The sequence below is a fragment of the Homo sapiens genome, chromosome 3 (genome assembly GCF_000001405.40).
Source record: "Homo sapiens chromosome 3, GRCh38.p14 Primary Assembly".
In the NCBI taxonomy this organism is placed as follows: Eukaryota; Metazoa; Chordata; class Mammalia; order Primates; family Hominidae; genus Homo; species Homo sapiens.
Window position 1 is genome coordinate 142,849,425 of NC_000003.12, and position 19,204 is coordinate 142,868,628.

At 41.0% G+C, this 19,204-nt stretch overlaps 1 protein-coding gene across 1 annotated transcript in view; it reads right to left on the reverse strand.

The window, feature by feature from the left end:
• Positions 1 to 19,204, reverse strand: part of PCOLCE2 (procollagen C-endopeptidase enhancer 2) — a 71,210-nt gene that overhangs the window by 31,551 nt on the left and 20,455 nt on the right. The gene's annotated exons all lie outside the window — the stretch shown is intronic.

The window sequence follows — 19,204 nt, forward strand, 5'->3', positions numbered from 1 at the left end:
GACACAATGCGCTAATGAAGAAAAAGATAAGCTTTCATTTTATCATAATATTTTATTCATCATAATTTCCCCATAAAATTCTTAATGATGGTTCCTTCCTTATTCCCTGAGTAGGTAGAAAAAATGGCTATAAAAGCATTTGGTAGGATTCTCAGGTTACCAAAGCCCCATTTCTTTCCCAGTTCATACCACCTTTTAATTTCTTCATTCAAGTTGTTCAGTCATAAAGTCTTGATCATAATTGTTTTACTCCTTTAATCAGATGAGGTCTCCACTGAATAGTGGAGAATTCCATTCTGTAAAAACTTACATATAACAAAACTCAGTGATTAAAAAAATCAAACACACACAATCAAAAGTGGTTGGTTTATATTCATCTTAATTAACTATTTCAGACTCAAGGGTCAATAGATGCTTTGACATTAATACGGCTTCCCCATGTTGGTAAGTACAGTGCCATACGTTTTATTTTCCTATGGTAAGATGAAGTGTTTTCAGTGCTATTTGCTTTTTGTGTCAAACACATCTACACTTCATCGTAGAAATTATAATGGCGTAGTTCCCAAAAGGGACATGTTTGGATTTGCCATCGTTGCATTCTAATTCCTAGAAGCTTGTCTCAGTGGTGTGAATATCAGAGTTCCAAAGAACTTAGAACAGCTTAAGAAGCTAATAACAGAAAGAACAATTTAAATTTTAAACATTATCACCAAGATGTCTGTTGTAAAACTTCCTGTCTTTTGCTTTGTTTTTTGTTTTGCACACAACCTCTATTTGTACAATAATCAGAAAGTTATCAAAATATGATGCCACATCTGTAATCTTAAATATAAGCAGGCTCTCTATGAATCACCGAAAAAGTCCTAGCCATGAAAAGAATCTCAAACTAATTTGTTTTTTTCCTGCATGAATAGTGACTATTTGTATAAATGTATAGAGGGTAATTCAAAGCTACGAAACTTGATGAAGTCACTCCCAGAGTGAATGTGGATAGAAAAAGGAAGAGGTCTAAGTATAGAGGCCTGGAACACTCCAATGTCATCAAGTCTGTGAAGAGGTCAAACCACAATAGAGACTGAGTCAACAAGTAGGAGGCAACCAAAGTGTGTGGCGTCTGGAAGCCAGGCGAAGAGAGTATGTCAAGGAGGAATGAATGGGCAACTGAGTTAAGTGCTGCTGCTGAGAAAGACCAGTGGATTTAGCAACACAGAAGTTTAGCAACCAGAAGTCACTGGTAATGCTGACAAAGCTGTTCTGGTGGCACCATGGGGAGAAAACTGGATAAAAGGATCATGAGAAAATGGGGTGAGAGGAAATGGTGACAATAAATATAAACAAGCTTTTCAAGGAGTTTTGCTGTGAAGATGAACAGAATAATATGGGGGTAAGGAAGGGGATATGGGGTCTAAGCAGAGTTTTTGCAATGGGTGTTTCCTAAGGCATGTTTGCATGCTGATGGGAAGGATTCTGTAGAGAGGGCAAAACTGATGAAGCAAGAGAGAGGGAGGATTGCTTAACAGATGTCCTTGAGCAGGCAAAGGGGGATCTGATCTACAGAAGGAACAGCTGGTGGAGTTGGCCTTAGTAGGAGCAGGGACAGTTTTGCCCAATGACAGAAGGGAAGACAGATGTAGGTAGGTCAGTAAATGAGGTGGTGAAAGCATATATAGAATTTTTTTTCTGGATTGCTTTTCTTAGTAAAATAGAAAACAAGGTCATCAGCAGCAAATGTGGAAGAGAGAGGCACTACTGGGAATCTGATAACAGAAGAGAAAGTGAGGAAATGGATTAATGAAATGCAGCAGGAGTACCAGGACTGCTGGGGTCCACTTGAAGTAAATGAATTAAAATTAAGACCTCTCTGCATGGTGGCGATATTTGTTTTTGTTTGTTCGTGGTCTTCTTCCCCAGCCACATTCAGCTCCGTGGGCAAAGGTACAGGGCAGGTGGAGAGTTGGATATAAGCAGTAGGGGAGAGTGGTGAGGTTTGCCAAGGGAGGATATGGCAGGAGAGAAGGACAAGAGAGTTGAAGACATAGGCAAGGGAGTGACCATGATGATGTGCTGTGGAATCCAAACTGGGTTAGGATGGAAATCAGGACGCTGTGGGGTGAGGACAGTAACAACCAAGACTGTGGTGGAGTAAGGACAAAATAACAGTGGAAGTGGGAGGCTGAGGAACTATGGAGGATAAGTTATTTGGCGGAGAAGAGGTTAAAGACCTGAGAAGATCACCCATATAGATATTGAAATTACAGTTGATTAGGACAAGGAAGAGTGTTGAAGACAGTGACAGTGAACCAGGAGTTAAAATTTGCAAGAAGCGAGGAAGACTGTCCAGGAGGCTTTTAGATTATTTCATCAAGGAGAGGAATAGGGAGGTATAATCATGTTTCATTGGCAGGTTCTTGGTTCTCTGACACTACGTAGACAATTCTGTTGACTCTCTCCTGTAGAGAGGTGTTGAAATTAACTACAGGACTTGGATGCTCATTCCCAATAAAATAAATCATTTGTTCCCAAAAGTTTTGTACCTGTTCCCATGGCAATGAAAATTTGAGAATGAGACACAAATATGATCAGCAATAGAAACTGGGTTACATCATTGCAATTTTGAACACATGCTGACCCGAACAACCCCGACAAAGCTTCTTTTGAAAGAAGGATGCAGAGGTGATCTGTACCAGTGTAAGTCTCCTATAACCAGAGACAAATGTCATCTTGCACTGAAGGCCAGAGAGAAATTCTATTGCAAATGAGAAGCATACTGCTGTGAGCCTTTTCAGTATGACACAACATCCGTTCTTCATTTTTTATATGAGTGATCAAGATTGTCTGATGCCCTCTGATGCAAGCTTTGATAAGAGCTCCTGATTGTCATTATAAAGGACTTTAGAGAGCATATTCTCCGAAGATGGCCTTTCCACTTGGAGAATCTAGTCTGTATCCTTGAATTTTCTTTGTTAAGAATAGAAAAAAAATAAAAAAATAAAAAATACAGAAAGATACACAGAATAATATAACACCTGGATACCAACCACGAAATTGACTTTTGTTAACATTTTGTTAATAGATTTTTAAAGTCTCCTTTAATGAAGTAAATAAAACATTTCAGATAAAAATGAGATTTCCTTTGTCTTCATCCCAGGCCCCATTTCCTCCTCCTTCCTCAGAAGCAACCACTGTTACAAATTTAGTGGGTTTCCTTCCATGCTGATCAAAATGTGTGTGTGTGTGTGTGTGTGTGTGTATTTATATATATTTATGTATGTGTGTATATACATATACACACATAAGTATTTATGTATATGTGTATATAATATATATTTTAATATATATTATATATATGTAACCATGCAAAATGCACAGTGACTTTTTGTGTTGTTTTAAAAATTAACAAAAATGGTGCCAGGCTCATGCTTGTAATCTTAATACTTTGGGAGGCCGAGGCAGGAGGATTGCTTGAGTCCAGGAGTTAAAGACCAGCCTGGGCAACATAGGGAGATCGTGTCTCTACAAAAAATTTTAAAAATTAGCTGGATGTGGTGGTGCATGCCTGTAGTCCCAGCTACTTAGGAGGCTGACGTGTGAGGATTACTTGAGCCTGGGACATCAAAGCTCCAATGAGCCATGATCACACTGTACTCTAGCCTGGAGAATAGAGAGAGACCCTGTTTAAAAAAAAAAAAAAAAGGGAAAATGGGATAATGTTTACATATCACTCCACAACCTGGGCATCCTTGAATTTTCTGGCTGAGGAAGAAGAGAAGAAGGAAAAATAAAAATACATAGGACCTTCACAAGCTATTCCTTCTACCTGGAACATGTTCCCACTTCTGCCCTTCTCTCACTCATGCTTAGGGTCTCAGTTTCAAGGTCACTCCCTCCTGGAGACATGCCTAAACACCCCCAAACCCGAAGGTGGGCTCTGTCCAATTAGCAGTGCTCCCCTCAGGTCTGTGAGCATGGGATGGCTCAGCCCACTCACTGCATGTTATAAAGCTCAACCTCGAGGGGGCAAGGATCCTTCCTGCCTTGTTCACTGTTGCATCCCCAGGATCTGGCATGGCCCCAAGTTAAAGCTTAACATCAAAAATATTTGTTAAATGAATAATCCATTAGGTACTCAATGAATCACCGGCCTCCTTGCACAAATCACAGACAATATACCTACTGCTGGCTCCACCTTTTTCATTCTAATATTTCCTACCTTGCCTGGCAGCAGAGCTCCAAAAGGCCACTCTCTTTTCTAAGCCATTCTTTGCAAAAAGCAGATGCATATCTTTTTGGAAACTTTATATTTCAAATCTCCTGTAAATGCTAACACTTAATGCAGAAACTCAAGGTGCTTTTTTGGTGGCAAATAGATGAAGCTACTGTTTTGTGAGATTATATTGATTTGGGGATTCATTATCTGCCTGCAGAAAAACAATTCGACGTTTGTGTTTTTTCCTATCAACAGCAAAGTCCCGTGTGGGCCAAAGCGTAGAGCTTCCACAGTGACCTCAACTCACCCCACAGCTCCTGGGATGTCCTCACTGTCACAAGCAAACGTGCCAAAGCTCTCGATGCCGGGGCTCCTGCCAGAGGACAGAGGAACTGCATTTTAAGCTGATGGTTTGCATTTTTAGGATACTATGAGCAAAATGCAAACAGGAGGCCAGCTTCTTCTGTGTGGAGGAGTGCATTTCTGCAGAAATGGGAATGCTCCTTTGTGTCTGCAGCTTTTCCTCCCTAAACACATCATTTACTACTTTGATCAAAAAGAACTGTTTTTGCAGCACGTGATTTTTTTTTAAGCCATCATTCTAATCTTCTACGATTTCCCTCTTCCACAAACAAACCTTTGGGAACGTGCATTCTAAAATGCAGACCACAGTTGATCTACGTAAAGCTCGAGGCACAGTTGATCTACGTAAAGCTCGAGGTGACCACTCAGTGTCACCTCTCCCATGGACCTCCAAAGGTAGTCCAGAAAGATCTATAGACAAATTATGTAAAAATATTTGGCAGTCTTTCTAGAGGGGGATAAATCAGAAGCTTACAAGATCTTATTCATCTATATTCTGGGTATATTTCAATACTACTCTTGTAAAGGTAAATCTTATACATGTTTAAAAAATAAAACATATTTTGATTGTAGAAATAACGAGATGTTTTGAACATTTTCTTTTGTTTTTGGGGATTTCACTAAAAAAACTTTACCCCTGGATGTCTAGAAGGGGCGTGGAAACTCCCATCCACCTTGGGCCCAGCCTGAAGACACCAGTGGAGATAACCCCCGAAAACCACCCAAAACTTTCCCACTGCACTTAGAATAAAATCTTCACCTTAATTATAGTTCACACACTTAGTGAACATCAGGTGCCAGGTATTTTTCTATGCACTATATACGTATCATTTCATTTAATCCCTTACAGCAACCCTATGAAGTTGATATTATTATTGGCCCAACTTTATAGTTTACAGATGAAGAAACTGAGGCACAGAGAGGTTAAGACACTGCATGATATATCCCCTTATCTCTCATCTTTCTCCTTCAAGCAACAACTTGGCTGTCATGCCACTTTTCTGTTCAAGGAGCCCTCCGAGCTGGTTCCCACCTAAGGGCCTTTGCACAGCCTGGTCCTCTGCCTGGCACAGCCTTCTCCCTGATATACACGGGTCTCACTCCACCTCATCATCTAGGTCAGCTCAAGAGTCACTGTTTCAGAGAAGCCTATCCTGAGCACCCCTGGTCACTTAGATCACACAGCCCTCTTATTTCTTCACAGATTATTTATCATCTGTCTCACTATCAGAATGTAAGCTACAGAGAACAGTTGGTCTGTGGGTCTACAGTTTGTCCAATGCTTTGGCTACTATGAGTACTCAGAAAATATTCATTGAATAAATGACTGCGATCCTTATAATCTTAAAATAATAGTGCAGGCCATGACTCCTATTACTAGCACATACTTTTATATAAAAATGTAAACTCACAAGTACAGGGCAAGTATTATTAAGATCCTTACGGGGAGGAAGAAATGGCTGACAGCGGTTATGATGACTTGCCTAAGGCCACCCAGAAAGACAATGGCAGAACTCAGGTCACCAGACTTCCACCTTGCTGTGTTTTTCCATGACCTGACTGTGGCAGAGGCTGAGGAGATGCTCCCAAACCTTGTTTCTTCTCAGGTCACACATGGAGTCGACATTTCCCAGCCTCTCTTGCAGTTAAGTTGGGGCCATGAGTCTGGGTCCTGGTCAATGGAATGTAGATGAAAGTGATGCACCCATTACCTCCAGGCCTAGCCATAAGACACCCAGTGCAATCCTTTTGGAGTTCTCTTTTTGCTCTAAGGAGGGGATTCAGTAGAAGAAAAGTGGAGGTGTTGGAAGACAGCAGAGCCACACAGGAGAAGAGAGAGCTGCCCAGAACAGCCCTCCCACTGCACTGGACGGTGAAGGGAACAAGAAACAGCCATTTATTGGGTTAGGCCACTGAGACTGGGGAAGTTGTTTGTTAGAGCAGTTTTGCACTTTGTGTTAATTACCCTGATTAACAAATGGATAGTGACATTCACCAGGTGTCCTTACCCAGCACCTCTGTGGCAGGTAACTGTATAGACACCTTTGTTGTTTGGGGTTCCTACAGGCTCTCTAGGAATCAACAGTGTGACGTGGCCACCAAGCAAGCCAACACAGGCTGTGTGAATAGTAAGGGAGACATCAGCTTTGCCTAACTGTATACTGCTTGGAGTACCATGGGCTGAATTCAGGTCAAAGCACCTCACTTTCGAGTAGACGTAGATGATTTGGAGCAACCACAAAGGGGAGAAAATTCAGAATCATCGAGGCACATACTGTAATTTCCATGGCCTCTGCAAAAGTGTAACTAGGCCCTCGAGCCCCTGTTATCACCTCTGAGTTATCACCGCTGAGTCCTTTACCTGTGGCTGGTCAGTTGGGGTGAGAGGCAACCAGCAGCCACTAGTACTTCTTAAGCTGAATGAAGACTTGGCTACAAAACGAACAAGACAGGACTTCAGGTTATGCCTCTTGTGCAAATGCTGCCTAAGCATGAAGATGTTCGAAAGATCCCAGCTGCGAACAGGCCCTTCGGCATTGGGAGGGTGTTCAGACTGAAGTCTGCCAAGTGGAAAGGCAAATGGGAAAAACGTGAAGGGACAACAAAGCCGAACCCACAGAAGCAGGAAGGCTAAGGTAGATGCAGCAGGATGAGGAGACAGGCAATCGTGCCAAGAGCTGTCGCATTAGGTTTTGGCTGGGGAAAGAGATAACGTTGAAAACGAAGAGTATTCCTTTTCACAGACATTTGTCTTGCAGTTTTCCTTTGGCCAGTGATACCCTGAGATCCTACTGTGGACATAAGTGGTGGCAAATCTTCTGAGCAAGTTATACATTCCTCATCCATGTTCTTGAGAAAACTGGAAATTCACTACTCAGTTTTTCTCTAAACAGGAGCTTTTTTTTTTTTTTTTAGCCATTTGCTCCTGAAAGGGTTTACAGCAAAAATTTTTAAAAAGCATTACCAAATAATAAGATAAAGAGCTGTGGATACACACGGAGCAATAAATTTCAGAAACACTCTAGGCAAGAGCATCCAGGATATTCTATATACTCTATAGTAAGTAAGAGTCTCCATTTCCCAATCTATCGTATGTGTGCAATGAACCTGTACTTTCCCATGCTTCCTACTGAACCAGCTGGTGCGAGCCTGGTGCTTCGGGTGCCTTACCAGGTCTGGCATCAACCACAGCACTGGCACCTCCTGTGGCTGCGAGGAGCAGCAGCAGCAAATGCTTGGAGACTGGAAGGAGTAAATAGCACCTAGTGGCTGAAGCCCAAGCTGTTTCATGTGATCAGTGTGTGTCCTGCCTGCTGTCCTTGAAAGCTGTTAGTTGTGTCAGGAAAGGGTTTGGAAAGGAGAGACAGGTTATCACTGGTTGTCTTTCACATTTAGCCATGTGTTCAAGGAGAACTCCGGGCACTGCATACATGCATGATACACTTCTAGACAAGACCACGGCAAAAGATGGAAGTACTAAGTGAAGCTCTACCAAGCCCATCCTAGATTATTTTAAAGCAACTATTAAGAGTAATATTTCTAAAGTCCTTAAAATGACTATAAAAAAGGGAAAAAAGGTAATATTTCTTTTAAAACAATGAAAAAATCCATGACAAACTGTAAATCATATGTGATGCCCTGGATGACAGGTACACATCAGAACTGTCCAGGACAAATGTGGACACAGGGCCACCCTGGCCTTAGAACATCTAGGCCTCTCCTCTAATGTTTGAAGCTGCCTTGCTGAATCCCAACAACCACAGGTTGAATGAATGAACAGCTGTTGAAGGAATAAAAGAATGAAAGAATAACAGAGGAGCTTCCTATTACCTGCAGAATGAAGTCCAAACTCCTCAGAATCATAGGGTACTGGGCCCACCCCAGGCTAACATTCTGGCCTCATCTACCCCCCAGCCATTTGTGTCTTGGGTATCATTCTGTCCATCCTCAAACACACCTGGCCCCTTTCCTTTCCCACCTCTGTGAGGTCGTATGTAAATTCCCTGCCTGGAATATTCTTTCTTCCCTTCCCAGACTATTGACTTCCACTCCAATTTCAAAGTTGGGGCCAAATACACCTTCTCGAGGAACTCATCCTCTCCCATCCAATTCCTAGACCTGGGGGGATGTTATCTTCCCTCTTTCACCTCCCAGAGCCAGAGCCCACTGTTCCCTCTCCCCTTTGGTGCCTCCTCGGCATCCACAGGTCTCACAGGTGTCTGCAGTGTGCACCTGGCCTTGCAGCTGACTGTGAACCTTGCACAGACAGGAGTGTTCTAGTCATCTTTGTCTGAGTAATTGAACCCACATGCACCTGGCAGCCAGGCATCCAAAAAGCACAATGCAGGTGAAGATGGAGATGGAAAAAAAGTTTCCTATCTTCATATATTTTGGTCTCAGATCTGTGAATAGTTTCGGGATTTTCTTTGCTATTTATTTGTTTTGCAAATCAACAAGTATTAATCAACTACCAGCTGCTGGCACAGCAACATACACACACACATGCGCACACATATATGTGCGTGCGTGTGTGTGCGTGTGTATATCAAACTAGGATAAAACATAAACTCCAAGGGTTCATGTGACCCAGAAGCTGGCAGTGCCTCCCTGGGGTAAGTGGGGGGGTCCCACTAAGACATGTGAGAGATGGCACCAACAGTTTGTTCATATGCCCGTCCCAAGCAGTCTGCTTTGTTATATTCCCTCAGTCCATGTATACAGGATTTTGTGTGTGTGTGTATGTGTGTGTGTGTGTGTGTAAGAGAGAGACAGAGCGAGAGATAGGGTCTTGCCCTGTCACCCAGCCAATTTCTTTACACCTTTGAAAACTGAAACAAAGTACTTAAGTCATTTTAGGGCATTCTTTCAATTCTCCGGAAGTTGTCAACATAAATTAATCCAGAAGATAGACATGATAGGTGGAGATTCCTGGAGAAAAAGCATCCCCAGGCTAAACCACTAGTACATATTGTCTGGCAGATATTCTTAAAGGTAACAGAGATAAAAGCTGAGGGAGACCTTTCCCATTATAGCTAGGAGCCTTTTTGTCATACAACACCCATGTTTTCTTCTTTTTTTTTTTTTAGAGACAGAGTCTGACTCTGTCGCCCAGGCTAGAGTGCAGTGGCATGATCTCAGCTCATTGCAACCTCCTCCTCCTGGGTTCAAATGATTCTCCTGCCTCAGCCTCCCAAGTAGGTGGGACTACAGGTGCCCACTATCATGACCAGCTAATTTTTGTATTTTTAGTGGAGACGGGGTTTCACCATATTGGTCAGGCTGGTCTCGAACTCCTGACCTCAGGTGATCCACCCACCTCAGCTTCACAAAGTGCTGAGATTACAGGCATGAGCCAGCACACCTGGCCCATGTTTTCTTCTCAATGACACATGAATATATATATATATTTTCAAAAACATTTATAGGACAGAACTGACTTCTATGCAATAATCTAAGAAACAAATCTGAAATATTTTCAAGAAAATATCTCCATAATCTGGAATTTCATCTGATAAGTCTTTTATGGGTCAGGAACACAAAATTACACTAATTTTTTCTTTTCTTTCTTGTTTTTTTTTTTTGAGACGAAGTCTCTCTGTGTCATTCAGGCTGGAGTGTGGAGTACAGTGGCGTGATATCGGCTCACTGCAACCTCTGCCTCCCAGGTTCAAGCGATTCCCCTGCCTCAGCCTCCTGAGTAGCTGGGACTACAGGCACACGCCACCACACCTGGCTAATTTTTTGTATTTTTAGTAGAAACAGGGTTTCACCATGTTGGCCAGGGTGCTCTGATCCACCTGTCTTGGCCTCCCAAAGTGCTGGGATTACAGGCATGAGCCACTGCGCCCAGCTATACTGATATTTTATTAGGAATGAAACAAAAAGCCCTTCCCTTCTGGGATAAGAGAAATCAGAGTAAAGAAGAAAGCACATTTAAAACAGAACAGATGTATATGTGAGCATCCAATGTTCTCTTAAATGAGTAAAAGACAGGCTTTACATGGTAGCATTAAATTGCTACAAAAGAGAACAAATTGTTTTTAAATCCAATTATTATATTAAAAAGTATGTGCATAGTTTACAATATAAAAGTATGTCCATAGTTTTTAACAGCAATGGGAAATAAGTCCTTGCCCTCTTCCTGCCCCTGACAGCCACTCCTCAGAAGCAACCAGTGTAATTCTTTCAGACAGTTTGCGTGAAATTTATTTCCTTGTTGCTTAATATATTATATGCTTATGCTGCTACTTCTTGACTTAGCCCTTTTAAACTTCACCTCTTTGCTTCCTGTTATTCCCCCTATTCCTCTGTCAAAAATTCTGGTTAAATCCATATTCAAGATTTTCATGACTACAGCCACATGAATATTAAATTTTTCACTGCTGGGCTAATATTTTTTTTCATTTTTCCTAAAGCTAATAATTGCCTTTTTGTTGTTGTTGTTGTTGTTGTTGTTTTGTTTGATTGCAATGTCGCGATCTCGGCTCACTGCAACCTCTGCCTCCCAAGCTCAAGCTATTCTCCTGCCTCAGCCCCCCAAGTAGCTGGGATTACAGGCGCCCACCACCACGCCCAGCTAATTTTGTACTTTTACTAGAGACAAGGTTTCACCATGTTGGTCAGGCTGGTCTCAAACTCCTGACCTCAACTGATCCGCCTGTCTCGGCCTCCCAAAGTGCTAGGATTATAGGTGTGAGCCACCACTCCCGGCCCATGCCTTGTTCTTTAAGTTAGCTTAGTTTTCTATGTGCCTATCACTAAAACCCCTCTCAATACCGGCCAGGCACCAGTATTCTATCAAGCTCCATTCTCTTCTTGGAAACACCCATTCTGGAGCTCTCCTTCCTCCTGCCCACCCTCTATCCAGTCTGGACTGGTCACTCTCAAGGCCTGCAGCACAGCTGTGGGCTGGGACTTCACTTCTTCACCAATTCAGGAACCCCCATTCCCAGGGCTTCTAGGTCATTTTCCTTGCTTGTTTTATTCCCTCATTTTTCTGGAGATCATCCTCCTTTAGTTTTCTTACCAAAGGTGTACAGAGATTAAAAGTTTCAGATAGTACACCTCTGAAAATGTCTTTATTATTCTGTACTCAACACTTGTCTGCCAGTTTGGCAAGGTACAGAATTGTAGCTTTAAATGGTTTTCTCAGAACGCTAAAGGCTTTGCTCCACTGCCTTCTAGCTTCCAGCAATAGGCTGATGCTGTTCTTTCCCCTTCTATGTGACTGTCCTCCTCTGCAGAGAGTTGTAGGATTTTTGTGAGTAAATTTAACAAAGATGCACCTTGGTGTTTATCTTTCTTCATTCATTTGTGCTGAGTGTTATTTCTTTGATAACTCCCTCCTCTCCAAATTCCCTGTTCTTTCTTTTTAGAACTCTCGTTAGTCAGACTTGGACTTCCCTGACAGGATTCTCTAATTTTCTTATCTTTTCTCTTCAATACTCTACCTCTTATTTTGTTCTACCTGCTGAGTGTCAAGTTTAGCCCTGATACTAATTTTTTTATCTCTATTATCAAGTTTTAAATTTCCAACAGTGTTTTTCTTGTTGTTTCCTTTGTTTTTAGTATCCTGCTTTGATTTTATGTGCACAGTGTCTTTTCACATCTCCCTGAGGACGATAATGATTATTATTTTGACATTTTCTTCTGCTCTGCACTGTTTCTGTTGCCTTGGAGTTTTTGTTTCCCTCGGTTTGGGCTCTGCCTTTTCATGTAAGAGGCTTTCCTCAAATGTCTAGTAATCCCCAACTGGCTGTTCACATTCAGAACTGAGGTGAGGCTGACTGGAAGCTCTGTGGCAGGGCTTGTCACCAGTGTGATGGGGACGAGCTGGCTTTTGCCTTGGGCCTCCCAAATGTCAGTATCTGGATAGAGGTCCTTTCTCAAGGGCTGTTCATTTTCTCTAAGATTGTTCCATGCCTCGCCTGAGGTGTAAAGACCTTGCTGCAGCTTTCATCGGAGGAGCAGGGAAAGAGGTGGGGCCGGGGTCTCACCATTCTAGTACACAGACTGTAATTACCCTGTTTTCAGTGCCACACCTGGGCCTGACCTCTTCTGCTAGGCTTGCAGTTCTGAAGCCCAGAACCCCTGTGGTTCCCAGAGCATACTCCCTGCCAGGCTGGAGGGAGAAGGTGGGGAGGTAGAAGAGAGACAGCACCCTTGCTGCTGGAGGTGGAGGAGGGAACCTGTAGGGTTAACCGCTCTTACAGAGGCCTTCAAACAGAACTCCAACTTCTAACCTCATCTGCCCTCCTGCCTTCCAAGAAACCAGGTGCCTCCAGCTCCAGAGCCTTTCTAGAATTCTGTGGCACAAATCGGCTTGTTTCCTACTGACACCTCCCTTCTCCTCTGGCAGGGGAGTGTTCGTTCTCTCTCTTCTGTTAATTCAGTCACCACTGACCATCTGCTTTCTTATCTTCCAAAATCTTGTTGGTATCTCTCATGTACTATTAATTCTGTTCCAATTCCATTTTTCCTGTGAGTTTAAACTTTTCAATTCCCTTACTGTAATTTTGGTGGGAAGAGAAATACTGAAATAAATGCTTAAATACATAAATAAATGCTTAATTCATCAGGTTTCACGAGAAGCCACTGAGGTGATCTTTATTAGGACATAATAAGAATGATAGATGCTGTATTTGTAGGTTATCTAGAAGACAATGTCATGTATAACATTATAAAATAATGTATAAGAGTATATTTTTAAAATGGAACCCAGATCTGTTAAGCACCTATCAAATATCCAGAGAACTCCAAAGGACTGAAAGACAGCTATACTACCATCTGTAATGGCTTTATACTATTCTAATGTACACTTGCACCATCATTTATACAAGAAATCTCAAATTTTTCTAAATTTAGCATGTTTCCAAATTTTCATTAATATAAATAATGCTATTATAAACATAATTATAAAAATATTCTTGTGCTTAAGGGAATATTTTTATAGGACAAATTCCTAGAAATGGACCTGCTAAATCAAGGAGTTGGGCATTTTAGATGATTACAGAATATACCCCAAGAAAAGTTGTATTAGTTCCCATTTTTCACACCTTCTCCTACGCTGGATGCCTATCAATACTTATCAGTCTGGCAGGCAAAAAAAAAAAAAAAAAAAAAAAGACACCATTGTTGTTTTAATTTCACAGCAGGCATTTGCATGGGAAAGCTTGGTTCACTTAATGTGGCAGAGGCCAGATGTCTGACAGCAGGTAAAAAACAAAAAAACAAAAAACATTGAAGATAGCTTCAGGGTTTCAAGCCCTGCAGGTACCATCCACAATACAAAGGCAGTAAGGAGAGAAAGGTTTGATGTTGTTTTGCTTTAGAAAGAAGTAGGGCAGAGGGACAGAGGGTGTCATAAGTTTGCTTTTGAACATGTCAGGTTAAGATATTTGAGCTGAATGTTGCAATATCATAAGGCAGTTAGAATGATGGTTTCAGGGGAAAAACATTTCAAAAGGTCCAGTTCTCTCAGGAAAGAGGACATTTGATCAGATAGATGGGACATGGAAAAACTTTTACAAGAGAAAACAACGTCTGAGGCCACAGACGACTGTCTTACTCTAGCCAGATGGCTCACAAATGTGTAGCCTCAAATAGCGCGTAAGAGAGGAAGAGGGTGTGGGAAGGGCTCAGAGGTGCCAGAAGCAACAACCCGAGGGCACATCCTTGGGATGGTGGTTAGGTGCATCAACAGAGGAGGCACTTTCATTATTTCCACACCGTGTGCCCAAGCCTCCCAACAACCTAGCTAACTTTGCTTATAAATTCTTTTCAAACTAAATTCTTTTCCACTTAGACTCCACCAAACACAAAGCTTTTTAAAAAATGTAAATTAAATTAAAAACAAAACAAAAGTGGATAAACTAGCATGCTATTTAAGAAAAACCTCATGATTCCTGGAGAAGAGTTTAGTCAGCAGAAGAAAAGACAGTGAATCATTTTGCTCAGATGGTGTGGCATTTAAATTAAATGTTCTGTGACGACGACACATTTAAGAAAAAAAAAATCATAAAAACAAGACACTAGTAGACAAGGAAAAGAAGACTGGGGAGCGTCTCAGAAAGAACTTACTAGTCCAGACTGCGTGAAACTGGCACAGATGGCTTGAAAGTTATAGCAGGGTGGGGGTAATTACGTTCAAACATGCCTGGTACTTCCTGCATGGCGACCTGGTATACTGCAAAGCTTAGGGTTATTCATAAAATGAGAATACCCAAGTTTCACCAAGCACCTTTTCCTCAAAGCCCTCAGCTGTCTGAAGAGATGGCTGATGTTGATGAGAAGCACTTATGCTGTGGTTTTTCAATTCAAGGAGAAGCTGATTCTTAAAATTGAGAGTCTTCGAATGCCATATAGAGCAGTTCTGCTTTTATCATTTCTCACTTGGCCACAAGTTTCAGGCCAGGGTCCTGGTAGTTCCTTGATATTTCAGACCCAGTTCAGGTCAGAGTTTTTCAATCATAAAACACTTTTTTCCTTAAAAAAACAAAACAACACAACTTATCAAGGTATGATTTACAAACCATAATAACCCACTCATTTTAAAGTGTACATTTCAACGATTCTTAGAAAATGTATGGAGTTGTGCAACCATCACTACAATCCAATTTCAGAATATTTCCATCACTCCAAAAAGATTTCTCATGCCCATCTGCAGTCACTGCTCATTCCCACCCACAGCCTCAAGCAAGCACTGATCTACTTCCTGTCTCTATAGACTTGCCTTTTCTGGACATTCATATGAATGGAATCAAACAGTATGTGGTCTATTGCATCTGGCTTCTTTCACTTAGCATAGTGTCTCTGAGGTCCATGTAGCATGAATTAGTACTGCATACCTTTTATGGCTGAATAATATTCCATTGTATGAATATGCCACATATTTATCCATTTACCCTGTTGATGGGTATTTGAAATGTATCTACTTTTGGCTATTATTAACAATGCTTCCATAAACATCTTTGTACAAGTCTTTATGTGGATGTATTTTCATTTCTCCTGCATCTAAAAGTACAACTGCTTGGTCATATGGTAAATGTTTAACTTTAAAAGAAACTGTTTTCCAAAGTGGCTGTACCATTTTACATTCCTACCAGCAGTGTATGAGAGTTTCAACTTCTTTACATCCTCAACAACACTTGCTATTCTCTGTGTTTTTTTTTTTTGTTAAAGTCATCCTAATGGGTATGAAGTAGTAGCTTATTGTGGTTTTGATTGCATTTCTCTAATGACCAATGATGTTGAGCATCTCTTCATGTGCTTATTGACCATTTATACATCTTCTCTAGTGAAATGTCTATTCAAATCTTTTGCCTGTTTTTTTTTTAAATTGTCAACCCTAAAGTACTTTTAAAATACAAACAGAAAAGCATCAAAACTTAACTTGTAATAAAGATGAACATCTGAGTCACACTGCAAAATCTGGTTTCATACATCCATTTTACGCCAAGAGTGAGAGGCAAGGAACCCCTTACAAGCTTGTTTAATGAAGTTACCCCATACAAAATAAGTGAGTTGACAACAACATCTCTTGAAGAATGCATTGGCTAGGAACACTGGTTTCTCACTTTAATTTCTGGATCAGCCATAATTTCTACAGAATATAAAAAGAAACAACATCCTGTGAAGGATGGAGGGCCTCTCACTGCTTTTTAGAGGATAATATAAAAGAGTAAAAATTAAAACACAAGAAGTTTTAGAAATAACTACAAATACAGATATTATGTAGTCAGCAGGCTCATTATATAAATATGTCAACAAAATCAATGTATGGAGAACTTGGAATAATTTGTGTGACTGGATAGGAAGCAAGGAAATGTGGATATAGTCTTTTAATCTAAGGCTTATTTTTCTCTTTTTAAAAAAGTAGTTCACTTAATATGTTGTTAAGTATCACCATAATAACGATGTCTAAAAGACTCCCTGTAAGCAAGAGAAAAATAGTCCGGATAGGCAAACAGATCAATGGAACAGAAGAGAGTCCAGAAATAGACCCACACATATAATCTTTGGCAAAGGTGTCAATGCTCTTCAATAAGTGTGATGGTTGATTTGTATGTGTCAACTTACTGGGCTAAGGAATGTCAAGGTAGCTGATAAAACATGATTTCTGGGAGTGTGTATGAGGGTTTGCCTGGAAGAGACTAGCATTTGAATCAGTAGACTGAGTAAAGCAGATCCATTCTCAACAGTGTGGGTGCACGTCCTCCAATCTGTTGAGGGCCCAAGTAGAACAAAAAGGTGGAGGAAGGGCAAATTCTCTCTCTCTTCTTCCTTGAGCTGGGACATCCATTTTCTCCTGCCCTCGGATATCAGAACTCCTGGCTCTCAGGCCTTAGGACTCCAGGACTTACGCAGAGGCCCTCCTGGTTCTCAGGTCTCTGAACTTGGACTGATTTACACCACCAGTTTTCCTGGTTCACCAGCTTGCAGAAAGCAGATGGTGGGACTTCTCAGCCTCTATAATTGCATGAGCCAATTCCCATAATCAATCAATCAATAATAAATAAATAAAATATTTTGACTGTTTCTCTGGAGTATCTTGACTAATATAATGGGTACAAGAACAGTCTTTTCAACAAAAAATGTTGAAAAATATGAATCATAACCCCATCTCACACCATACATAAATTAACTTGAGATGAATCACAGACATAAATGTAAAAGCTAAAATTATAAGCTTCTACAAAAAACACAGATATATTACAGGAGTTATTAAGAAATTATTTTAGGCAGCTAGAATGGGTAAAAGAGTCTTCAGTAAGGCTTTTTCTTTTAATAAAAAAGCAGCCCCCAAAACATTTCTTTTCTAACAGAAAATGGCCTGAAAAACCAGACCTGCAAGCATTGACAAGCAAGCAGGCTTGCATATGTAAATGCAGGCAGCTAAGAACCAGGTCCACGCAACAGGGCAGTTCCCACTCCCTTTTCTTTGTTGCCGCGTGTGCAGGTAACATTGTGGCCAGACAGGTAGAAGCCATGTGTACAGGTATCATGGCAACCAGCCAGGTAGAAGCCACATTTGCATAATAAAAGGTTAGGGTGGGAGGGCCAGTTTTTTCAAGGGCTATGTGAATGACACGCCTGGTCAAACCAATCCCCTGGGCCCTATGCAAATCAGACACCGCCTCCTCGAGCCTCCCAGTATAACTGACTGTTTTCCACCATATGTGGCAGTTAGACCTCCCTCTGTAGAGGGAGCTGTTCTCTTCTTTCTTGCCTATTAAACTCTCTGCTCCTTAATCCACTCCACGAGTGTGTCCATGTTGCTAATTTTCTTGGTGCGAGATAAAGGACCCTGGGTGTTTCCCCAGACAAGACAGCCATATCAGAAGAATATCTTTGCAATCTTGGGTAGCAAGAAAGTAGTAACTGCAAGAGTTAAAAACTACTAAATTGGATTTCAAGTGTTTTAATTTCTGCTCATCAAAAGTAACTGTTAATGAGTAGATAAACCACAGATGGAAAAAAAATTTGCAATACATGTACCTGACAACCTTGTATTCGGAATAAAGAATTACAACTTCATGATAAAAGACAATCCAATAAAAAACATGGACATAAGACTTAATGTACACTTCACAAAGACCAATATGCACATGAAAAAAGAGTTCAATCTTATTAGCCATCAGGGAAATGACAACTAAAATCACAACGTGATATGACTAGAATTTTGCCCACCAGAACAGCTAAAACTAGAAAGACTGATGATACCAAATATCAGAAGGTGGGGCAAACAGAACTTCTAACCACTGCCAATGGGAGTGCAAAATGGTTAACCCCTTTGGAAACTGGTCTGGCAGTTTCTCATATAGTAAAGCAGATACCTATATATATAAATAAATTAGAAATATCAGTGATTAGTTTGGTAGCTTTCCAAAGGAGCTAGGGCAGAATTGTGGAGGACTGTGACTTCGTCTTGGTTTCAGCTCAGAAAAGTATCTGAGATGTCTGAGAAAACTGAAGCAGAATGTAAAACTCAGAAATGAAATGGTTATAAACTCTTCCCAAATAAACATGTTACTTGAGGATAAGGCAAGGAACAGGAGGAAACAATGATAATTCTTTTGTTTCTCCCATAAAGGCCATTCAATTTTTAAAATAATCAAATATTTGTTAAATACCTACTATGTGTCAGGTCACGACGTGCAGGGCTCTAAGGAAAGGATAAAGGTAACTGTGGCTTCTGCTCTCAAGGAGAGCACTGTCTAGGACAGTGTTTCTCAAACTTTTGGCCTCCAAGGACCACTTAATAGTAATATACACAGTCCATTGTAAACCAAAAACAAAATTCTAAGCCCCCCAACCAACTGAATGGACCCCTCGTCTTGGCCAAGGGCATTCCAAAGCTAACCTGAAAAACTAGTTCAGCCATGATGGCAAGGGGTGTTAGATATAAATTCTAAATTTCTCTTCAAAGAATCAATATATCAGTATGTTCAATTCTTTACCTTCTACTTTTAAACTTAACTTCCTCGTAAAGCAACCTTTTGGGATTACCTGCTCCACCCTGACTCATTCTGATCACCTGCTCCACCCTGACTCATTCTGATCACCTGCTTCACCCTAACTCATTCAGATTACCTGCTACCTGCTCCGCCCTGACTCATTCTCCACCTTGCATAA